The sequence below is a fragment of the Homo sapiens genome, chromosome 7 (genome assembly GCF_000001405.40).
Source record: "Homo sapiens chromosome 7, GRCh38.p14 Primary Assembly".
In the NCBI taxonomy this organism is placed as follows: domain Eukaryota; kingdom Metazoa; phylum Chordata; class Mammalia; order Primates; family Hominidae; genus Homo; species Homo sapiens.
In genome coordinates this window covers 101,360,660-101,371,613 of record NC_000007.14, presented here as the reverse complement: position 1 = coordinate 101,371,613, position 10,954 = coordinate 101,360,660, and the positions used below count along the sequence as shown (strand labels likewise).

Below are 10,954 nucleotides of genomic sequence, written 5' to 3'. Positions count from 1 at the left end.
GGGTCTGACTATATTTCCCGGGCTGGTCTCAAACTCCTGGGCTCAAGTGATCCTCCTACCTCAGCTTCCACCAGGACTACAAGTGTGCACCACCACACCCAGCTAATTTTTTAATTTTTTTTTTTTTTACAGAGACAGGGTCTGGCTATGTTGTCCCAGCTGGTCTCAAACTCCTGGGCTCAAGTGATCCTCCCACCTCGGTCTCCCAAAGTGCTGGGATTAAAGGCATGAGGCACCATAGCTAATCACAGTTGCCAATTCTTGAATGTAGGGAACCAGAGAGCAAAGGCAGGGGTCCAACACTGCAGAGGCATGCAATCCAGTCGGAGGGACAAGTCCCCATGGATGTGATCATCCACTTCCCCAGAGTCTGCTGAGCTCTTCCTCCATGCAGGCCACCAGGCACAGCCCCCTGCCTTCACGTTTGAGTCCCCAGCCTCTACCCTACCTACACGTGGGCTCAGTGAATGCAAGGTGATTAAATGCCTGACCTGGAGCGGCTCACATTTCCAAGAGGCAGTGGTGGGTGGTGGGCAGGGCTAAGCTCCAGCTCATGCACGCTTGCCCAAGGACGGCTGCTCAGAGCCACTCCTGTAGGGAGTAAATGAGGAAGGAGAAATGACTCCATCTGCAAGGAGGGAAACTGGGGAAGTGAGTTCTAGAACCAAAACCACAATCACAGATGCAGGGGCTACCCACAAATCACAGGTGCAGGGGCTACCCACAAATGAGATGAACAGAAAGCTGGGAGGTAAATCCAGAGAGACTTCCTGGAGGAAGGGTGCTTGTGGTTCTACCAAAAGAGGGGGGAGTCAAGGTAAGAGGGAGGCATTTTGAGTGAGGAGGGGACACACCAAGCACTTTGGCTTAGACGAAACCACAAGAAAGTGAATTCAGAGACAGAGAGAGTTTGAAGCAGCAGGTATAGATGAAGGAAAGGTGGGCAGGGTGCAGTGGCTCATGCCTGTAATCCCAGCACTTTGGGAGGATGAGGTGGGCAGATAACCTGAGGTCAGGAGTTCGAGACCAGCCTGGCCAACATGACAAAACCCCATCTCTTCTAAAAATACAAAAAATTAGCCAGGCATGGTGGTGCATGCCTGTAATACCAGCTAGTCGGAAGGCTGAGGCAGGAGAATCGCTTCAACCTGGGAAGCGGAGGTTGCAGTGAGCTAAGATCGTGCCACTGCACTCCAGCCTGGGCAACAGAGCCAGACTCCGTCTCAAAAAACAAAAACAAAACAAACAACAACAACAAAACAAACAGTGTGTCAGCTTGATTTTATACTTTTAAATATCTAGCCAAATGGTGAATGGTCTTCATCTTTAGTCTTGCCCCAAGCCCCAAAAAGGTTAGGGGTGGCCAGGACTTGCAGGTGCTATAAGATCAGGGAAGTCTATTCTTACCCCTGAAAGGCCATATCAACCAGCATCATTTAAAATGTCCTCTTCAGGCCAGGCGCGGTGGTTCATGCCTGTAATCCCAGCACTTTGGGAGGCTGAGGCGGGTGGATCACCTGAAGTCGGGAGTTTGAGACCAGCCTGACCAACATGGAGAAACCCATCTCTACAAAAAATACAAAATTAGCCAGGCATGATGGCACATGCCTGTAATCCCAGCTACTACGGAGGCTGAAGCAGGAGAATCGCTTGAACCTGGGAGGCGGAAGTTGCGGTGAGCCGAGATCATGCCATTGCACTCCAGCATGGGCAACAAGAGCGAAACTCCATCTCAAAAAACAAATAAATAAAATAAAATAAAATGGACTCTTCAAAATGTACCCCAAGAAGAAACTGCTGATGGGAATGCAAAATGCTGTAACCCCAGTGGAGGGAAACTTGACGCTATCTAGCAGAATTAAACATGTGTTTGCCATTTACCAACACAAGTGTCTATCAGTAGAGGACTAGCTGAATAAATACAGTCACTCACACTGTACAGAACAACAGACCCATAAAAATGGATGCAGAACTCTACTAAAAAAAAATACAAAAATATTAGCCGGGTGTGGTGGCGGGTGATTATAGTCCCAGCTACTCAGAAGGCTGAGGCAGGAGAATGGCCTGAACCCGGGAGGCAGAGCTTGCAGTGAGCCGAGATTGCGCCACTGCACTCCAGCCTGGGCGACAGAGCGAGACTCTGTCTCAAAAAAAAAAAAAAAAAAAAAAAGATGCAGATTACCTTTGCTTTATTTATTTATTTATTTAAGACTGAGTCTTGCTCTGTCACCCAGGCTGGAGTGCAGTGACGTGATCTCAGCTCACTGCAACCTCCACCTCCTGGGTTCAAGCAATTCTCCTGCCTCAGCCTCCTAAGTAGCTGGGATTACAGGCATGCGCCACCATGCCCAGCTAATTTTTGTATTCTTAGTAGAGAAGGGGTTTCACCATGTTGGCCAGGCTGGTCTCGAACTCCTGACCTCAAGCGATCCACCCACCTTGGCCTCCCAAAGTGCTGGGATGACAGGCGTGAGTCATCATGCCCCCCCATCTTTGCTTTTTGATAGAGCCATCTCCACAACACGTTATGATGGAAAAAGGCCAAGTTGAAGACAGAGTAACTAGCATATTACCTCTGTGTAAGAAAAGGAGGAGGATACAGACACAAACACACACATACTCATACACACTGTTACGCTCACACACACACATACACACACAAATTGCTTACATTTGCAAAAAGAATTTTTTTTTTTGGAAAGAGCCAGATTTTGAGTGAGTTTTTTCTACCTACAAATAGTAAATAAGGGGGAAATTATAAGTATTCTAGCAATTACGAATTTTAAAAAGAGTCAAAATTATAGTACTACTTTGAAGTAGGAGGCGGGACTTGACTCTGGAGGTTGGGGTTGACACCGGACCAAATTGAGGACTAGCTAAAACAGGTTAGGACGAAGCACATCCCCATAAGACTCACTCACCAGGGCACCATGTCAGTTACCATTTGCCAGGGCAACACCCGGAAGTTACCATGCCTTTCCATGGCAACAACCCAACAACCTAGAAGTTACCACCTTCATCCTAGAAATTCCTGCATAAACTGCCCCTTAATTTGCATATAGTTAAAAGTAAGTATAAATAGTGCCAAACTGCCTCTGAGCTGCTAGTCTGGGCACACTGCCTATGGGGTATCCCTGCTCTGCAAGGAGCAGGACCTCTGCTGCAGCTGTACACTGCCACATCAATTAAAGTTGCTGTCTGAAACCACCCACTCACCCTTGAATTCTTTCCTGGGTGAAGCCAAGAACCCTCCTGGCTAAGCCCCAATTTGGGGGCCTGCCTGTCTTGCATCCACTTTGCGATCCTTAATGAAAGAATGACATACGCAATGATCACCAACACCTCAAGCATCACGAGAGAAAAAGAGAGACAACCAGACGTTGTGATTTCCAATGGAAAAACACTACAGCACCCAAGATGTAATTCTGCCAAAATAGAAAACGAAGGAGGAGGAAGAACTAGATCCAACCAAGCTCTTGATCTAATTTCCCATTATCTGGAAATAAAGAGGACAGATGAACATGTTCACAGGCACCATGAGCATATAACCAACAAAATCCTGAAAAAGGAACAATCTAGAAGGCCAAGTTTCTTCAACAAATAAATTGCAACAAAAAGAAGGGAGACAGTGGAGGAGACTTGTAGACAGTGGTGTTCTGCTGAATATTTAACACCCAGCTTTCCAGAATAAAGCCACATCCTTCTGTTAGTCAGCTCAAGGTTGCCGTAACAGAATACCACAGACTGAATGGCTTAAGTAGCAGACATTTATTTCTCATAGCCCTGGAGGCTGGGAAGTCTAAGATCAAGGTGCTGGCAGATTCAGTTCCTGGTGAGGGTTCTCTTTCTGGTTTGCAGACAGCCACCTTCTTGCTGTGCTGTGTCCTCACATGGCAAAGAGAGAGAGCTCTGATTTCTCTTCTTCTTTTTTTTTTTTTTTTTCTTTTTTGAGACAGAGTCTCACTCTGTTGCCCAGGCTGGAGTGCAGTGGCATGATCTCAGCTCATTGTACCCTCCGCCTCCCGGGCTTAAGCGATTTTAGTGCCTCAGCCTCCCAAGTAGCTGGGACTACCGGTGTGCACCACCACGCCCGGCTAATTTTTGTATTTTTAGTAGACACGGGTTTTCACCATGTTGGCCAGACTGGTCTCAAACTCCTGACCTCAGGTGATCCACCCACCTGGGCCTCCCAAAGTGCTGAGATTACAGGCATGAGCCACCGCACCTGGCCTCTCTTCCTGTTCTTATAACATCCCTAATCAAATAATGGGGCACAGCCCTCACAACTTCATCTAAATCTAGTTACCTCCAAAGGTCCCCCCTCCAAATACCACCACATTGGAGGATAGGGCTTCAACATATGAATTTGGTGGGGACACACACATCAGTCCAGAGCATCTCCTGATATAATATGGTAGACTAGACCACCTATGAAGAATTTCTGTCTCTCCCAGCAAGCCCAAATAGAGACCATAAATCTAATCAAACCTTCCAACCTAACTTCCAAAATAGAAGAGATACAGGGGGCAGAGGATCCAATTAATTACACCACTGGGAAGCAATTAGTCAAAACTAGTACGTGGACATTGCAGATCAAGTTAACTACACCACTGGGAAGGAAATAGCTAAATCTAGTACGTGGACATCGCAGAGAACAACTGGTCTTCAACAAGTCAACAGCGTGGAGGAAAAAGTACTCTCTCAAAGGGGGAAGACTTTCCTACACTAAAAGGGAGAGAAAAGACAGAATAACCAATAAGCAGACTTATTTAGATCCTGATTTGAACAAACTAACAATTAAAAACTGCTTTTTGGCCAGGCACAGTGGCTCACACCTGTAATTCCAACACTTCGGGAGGCCAAAGCTGAAGGATTACTTGAAGCCAGGAGTTCAAGACCACCCTGGGCAACATAGCAGGACCCCACCTCTATGAAAAATTTAAAAGTTAGCCAGCCATGGTGGCCCATGCCTATGGTCCCAACTACTTAGGAGGCTGAGGTGGGAGGATTGCTTGAACCCAGGAGGTCGAGGCTGCAGTGAGCTATGATTGCACCATTACGCTCCTGCCTGGGTGACAGAGCAAGACCCTGTCTTTAAAAAAAAAAAAAAAAAAAAAAAAAAAAAAAAAAAAAAAAAAATCAGACGTTAACAAGGAGCAGTAACAATGAAATTAAAGCACTCTTTGTCAAGAAACAGCCCTGTCATCATTGCCTGTCAACTGAAGCCAAGCCCCGGTAAACACACTACTGAAGGCCAAGGCTGCAAGGACCACTGCTGTCCCCAAGCCTTCAGCTTCTGGACATCTTGGATCTCAAGGACAAGGGACACTTGTGATAGATAGCTCATGAGACACAGAAACATGTGACGCCCAAGCCAGCTCCAGCCTGTAACTCACCCAGGCAACAACCAGGTGCCTGCAATGCCCACGCTGGGCTTTCTGGGCAAAGAGACTCAGTCACACTCTGGAATATCAATGTGCCCCAAGCCTCCCCAACACCTTCTGGTATCCTTTTTAGGAATCCATTGCCCACAGATTCATCCACATCCTCCCTAAACCTAATTATATCCTCTCCCTGTTCTTATCCTGGTGGAAAGAGTTCTGGAAGATTCCACACTTGTTTGAGCCTCTTTTTGTTTGTGCTAAAATGATCCCTTCCAAGTTTCTGCAGATGTCCCCAAGTTCCAACCCACCAAATGCCAGAATGAGGTCCCCATTCGCTCCCGCTCTTCATGGTCCTCACCTCTTGCTTTTTTGCAGGCGTATTTCAGGCTGCAAACACCTTTTTTTTTTTCCTTCCCACACCTTTTAATTACAAAAGTATTACATGAATATACGCTCCTTGCAAAACATCCATTCAATCCCCGTACCGGCCAGTAGGTTCTCTTAGGGACCAAGCACAGTGGCTCATGCCTGTGATCCCAGCACTTCGGGAGGCTGAGGCAGGCAGATCATTTGAGGCCAGGAGTTTGAGACCAGCCTGGCCAACGTTACATTTTTTATTGGCCAACAATACAAAAATTAGCCAGGCGCAGTGGTGGGCACCTGTAATCCCAGCTACTTGGGAGGCTGAGGCAGGAGAATCACTTGAACTTGGGAGGCAGAGGTTGCAGTAAGCCAAGATTGCACCATTGCACTCCAGCCTGGGAGACAGAGCGAGACTCTGTCTCAAAAAAAACACAGAAACCAGAAAAACATTCAGACAAGCCACAAGCAGACAGAGGGAAAATGGGACAGTCCCCTGGCCCAGCCCTAGACTTCTTCATAACATTAACTGCTGAAATGGTTTCCTAGAAACTTTTTTCAGGCATTTATCTACCTAGATGTAGATCTGATTTTCCTTTTCATAAATGAAATCGTGCTGTATATATTATTCTGTAACTTGAAAAGCTTGTTTTTTAGACAATCCTCATATGGAACTGTGCAGAGGCCACACTAGCGTGGGTGTTTGGAGAATGCTCCTCATAGAAGCCCCGGGTAAGTATTTCCAAACAAAATGAGAGAAATAGGATTGCATACAAACTTTTCCAGAGGCACTTTTATGCTTTTCTGGGTCCCGCCCTATTCAGCCATGACTGTATATTTCTTCCCAGCATGAAACATCCCTGTCTCCTTGTTATTAAGGAATTAGCCAGAAATCATCTTGGAGTCCTCTGATTTGGTAAATATCAAGGAGAAAAAAAGAACTAGGAGCTGTCTTTTAGCTTTGATAGGCAGAGCAGTATGCTAGAAAACACCAGATCTGGGCCTGGCGTGGTGGCTCACGCCTGTAATCCCAGCATTTTGGGAGGCCGAGGCAGGAGGATCTCTTGAGGCCAGAAGTTTGAGACCAGCATGTGTAACACAGTGAGATCCCACCTCTACAAAAAATCAAAAAATTAGCCAGTCATGATGGTGTACACCTGTGATCTCAGCTACACAGGAGGCCAAGGTCGGGGGATCACTTGAGCCTGGGAGATCAGGTTTGCAGTGAGCTATGATCGCACCACTGCATTCCAGCCTGGGGAGCAAGCAAGACCCTATATTAAAAAAAAAAAAAAAAGAAAGAAAGCACAAGAGGTCAGTCCTGAGTGGCTCCTAGGCCTAGCAAATCCTGAGCCTCTGTTTCTTCAGCTAAAGGAAAGATACTACTCTAATGTTTTAACCCTAGGGTTGTTAAGGATCAAAAGAAATGGAGATTGGGAGGCCAAGGCGGGAGGATCGCTTGAGCCCAGGAGTTTGCGACAAGCCTGGGCAACAGAGTTGAGATTCTGCCTCTGCAAAAAAAAAAAATTAAAATATAAAAAAGAGACGGAGGGAACAGACACAGGTAGTGCATTCCAGAGCGCTGTCATAGCTGTGTAGGTTGTAGTTATCACTAAATGAGAAAAGCTAAATTCAAGCGAGTTATGCAAACGAGGCGTTTGGCAACTTTTACTTGCATGCTTATGGTTTTCTGGGGAAATTCAAATGCGGGCTCCGGAGCCGCAGCCCTGAGCGTCCCGGGGGTGGCCATGGCGCCACCTGCCGGCCGAGAGGAAGGAGACGCCTGGCGGGTCCCGGCGCCCGGGCCCGGTGACCCTGCGCCCTCTCCAACCCCGCCACGGAGCCACCCGATCCCAGCCGGTTCCACGTCCCGGGGTGGCTGGGGAGTCGCAGCCGAGGATCCTCCGCGGCCTCAGCCCCAAAGACTGGGCGGGAATGACCCCTCTGGTGTCCTGGGGCCGCTGATAGGAGAGGGGTGCCCGGGACGCGAGGCCTTGGCCACCCGAGAACCTGCTCCGCGACACAAAGCCGCAGCCGCGCAGGTGAGCGGCAGAGCCACGTGAGCGGCCGAACGCCCCGGGCAGAGCCCCAGCCCCAGCCACGGCGGTCGGAACCACCTCTACTCGGAGCCCGGAACGAGGGGGCGAAGGTTGGGGAAGCGAAGAAAGGAAGGGACAGGGTGGGCGCGGCCAGAGACCACCGCAGCCCCGGAGCCGGACCCGAACCTTCAGCCCCCGCAACCCCGCAGCCCCGCAGCCCCGCGGCCCCAACCCCCAGCCTCCTCCATCGCTCGTTCCAGCTGCCCCGTCTGCAGCCCCCAACCCCCGCCGCCCCGCGCCCCAGCCCCCAATCGCCCTGCACCCAAGGCCCTTCGGTCTTTCCCCCCGTGACCCCAACCCCCAGCCACCGCCATTTCGTCCCAGTTGCCCCGTGTCCCCTGCCCCTGGCATCCGCCACCCCGCGCCCCCAGGCCCGAATCGCCCCGCACCCCAACCCCCTCCAGCTCTCGTTCCAGCTGCCCGGTGTCTGCAGCCCCCAGTCCCCGCTGCCCTGCGCCCCCAAGTCCCGGATCGCCCCGCTCTCCAGCCCCCAAGCCTCGCTCCAGCCACCCAGTGGCCAGGGCCCCCGCTGTCCGCTCCCTCCCCCCACCCCCCGGCCCCTCGGCCCCGAGCTACTCACCGGCGGCTCGCGTAGCCGCTGCCAGGGGAGCCGGCGCCGGGCTCGGGGTAGCCGTGCTGCTGCAGAGCTGCGGCCGAGAAGGGATAGAGGAAGCCGGTGGCCAGCGCCGACCCGCAGAGGCAGCAACACGCCCAGGGCAGGAGCAGGGCCAGCTTCATCGTGCGCAGCAGCCCGCGGGGACCCGGAGTCCCGGGCACGAGGACCGGCAGGAGCGCACCGGCGCCCGGACCGAACCCGCGGCACCGGCCGGGAGCACAGCGAGAGGAGCGGGGCGAGCGGTCGGAGCCCGGGTGCGAGCTGGAAATGTGTGGGGGGCGCCCACGCCTCTCCGGGGCCGCCTTTTCAAATTCGGCGAGGTGGGCTCTAAGCCGTCAAAGGGGGCGTGGGGCTTTTTTGTTAACCCTCGGCGGTCCGGGGCCGAGGAGGCGGCAGTGGCGGCAGAGCTAGGGTGCGAGCTCCGCAGGAGGTCCCTGGAGCCTAACACCCCGAAAGCCAGACCTCGCGCCCAGGCCCCCGCTACACACCTTAGAACCTTTGAAACCAAACCTTCTTCGGGTCCGCGAATGCTTTCGGAGCGCCCATTCTGTGTCTGCCAATTTCACCTGGACGATGTTGGTGAATCCTCGCCACACTGCCCTCGATGGTCCCATTCAGAAGTGGAAACTGAGGCTGGAGAAAGTTAAGCCAGACAAATGCGAGTCTTCCGATCCTTGTGCAGGGCTCTTTGGATCAAAGCGCTGCGTTCCCGTGAGAAACTGACCAGAGCTTCCCAGGATTCTCCTCCTTCCCCTTTAACCTCCAGCCCCCACCTGCCCCGCTGTCTCTTCCAGGTAAGAAGCTTTGGGAGGGGCGGAAGGGTCAGTTGGGGTGAGAAGTTGTAGCTAGATTGGGAGGCCGAGGTGGGCGGATCACCTGAGGTCAGGAGTTCGAGACCAGCCTGGCCAACATGGTGAAACCTCGTCTCTACTAAAAATACAAAAATTAGCCTAGTGTGGTGGCAGGTGCCTGTAATCTCAACTACAGGCTGGGCTGAGGCAAGCCAATCACTTGAACTCAGGAGGCGGAGGGTGCAGTGAGCCAATATCAGGCCACTGGCCTCCAGCCTGGATGACAAGGTGAGGCTCCATCTCAAAAAAAGAAAAAAGTTGTAGCTAGAATCACAGATTCATGAGACATCCTATCCAGAAAAGGGCTTCAGGAAGATGTAGGACAATCCCACCTTTTATAAACAGAAAAGCAGAGTCCTAGATCCCATGCTGGGCCCAAGGCCAGCCTGGACCCAAGTTTTGGTCTTTTCTATGTTGCAGGATTCCCATAGGGCTTGGACCCTGCTCCAGGCCCAGGTGGGACCAGAAATCCAGCCCGTACTCTACTCGCCCGGGTTAGGAGCATTTTGTTCCTTTTTTTTTTTTTCTTTTTCTTTTTTTTTTTTTTTTGAGTTGGAGTCTCGCTCTGTCACCCAGGCTGGAGTGCAGTGGTGCGATCTCGGCTCACTGCAACCTCTGCCTCCCGGGTTCAAGTGATTCTTCTGCCTCAGCCTCCCGAGTAGCTGGGATTACAGGCAAGCAATACCATTTCGGGTTAATTTTTGTATTTTTAGTAGAGACGGGGTTTCGCCATGTTGGCCAGGCTGGTTTCGAACTCCTGACCTCAGGTGATTCACCCACCTCCGCCTCCCAAAGTGCTGGGATTACAGGTGTGAGCCACCTAGCCCGGCCTGGGAGCTTTTTTCCTAATTCTTCCAAAAGCAACCTAAGGGTGCAGATGCCCTGAGGCTTGCTCTGCCCCTGTGACCAGTTGAAAACTCCTGTCTGTAAAATGCCTACAGGATGGAGAAAAACCATCAAATATGGAAGTGTTTGCTGGACTGGAGCACATTTTGCAAAAGGATTGTAGAGGCCAGTGGCAATGGCTCACTTCAGTAATCCTAATCCTTTGGAAGCCGGGCACAGTAGCTCACGCCTGTAATCCCAGCACTTTGGGAAGTTGAGGTGGGCAGATTACTTGAGGTCAGGAGTTCAAGACCAGCCTGGCTAACATGGTGAAACCCTGTCTCTACTAAAAAAATAGAAAAAATTAGCTGGGCGTAGTGGCATGCACTTGTAATCCCAGCTACTCAGGAGGCTGAGGCAGGGGAATCGCTTGAACCCGGGGTTGCAGTGAGCTGAGATCATGCCACTGCACTCCAGCCTGGGGGACAGAGTGAGACTCCGTCTCAAAAAACAAAACAACAAAGACCTAATGCTTTGGGAGGCTGAGGCGGGAGGATTGCTTAAGGCCAGGAGTTCGAGGCCAGCTTGGACAACATAGTGAGACCCCCCCATCTCTACAAAAAAAAAAAAAAAGCAAAGCGTGGAGGTGTGTGCCTGTAGTCCCAGCTACTCAGGAGTCTGAGGCAGGAGGATTGCTTGAGCCTAAGGGTTCAAGGCTGCAGTGAGCCATGATGGTGCCATGACACTTCAGCCTGGGTTACATACTGAGCCTGTCCTTCTCCCCTCAAAGAAGGATTGTAGGATTGTTGTTAGAAGACG

At 51.1% G+C, this 10,954-nt stretch overlaps 1 protein-coding gene across 5 annotated transcripts in view, besides 1 other annotated feature; it reads right to left on the bottom strand.

Annotated features, from left to right (window-relative positions):
* COL26A1 (collagen type XXVI alpha 1 chain) overlaps window positions 1-9,226 on the bottom strand; it is a 196,637-nt gene extending 187,411 nt beyond the window's left edge. For 4 of the 5 annotated variants that reach the window (NM_001278563.3, XM_017011743.2, NM_133457.5 and 1 more), the window contains exon 1: window positions 8,424-8,739. In NM_001278563.3, coding sequence (NP_001265492.1) covers window positions 8,424-8,581 — 158 coding nt within the window. In that variant the 5' untranslated portion in view covers window positions 8,582-8,739. Of the gene's footprint in view, window positions 1-8,423; window positions 8,740-8,947 lie in introns of those variants that run through there. The other variant, XM_017011744.2, reaches the window with a different exon arrangement.
* Window positions 7,366-7,605: a silencer, noted in NCBI's record as "silent region_18484". NCBI's record gives its function as "represses an Ori minimal core promoter by ATAC-STARR-seq in GM12878 lymphoblastoid cells {active_cell/tissue: GM12878}" and the evidence as "EXISTENCE:reporter gene assay evidence [ECO:0000049][PMID:35858748]".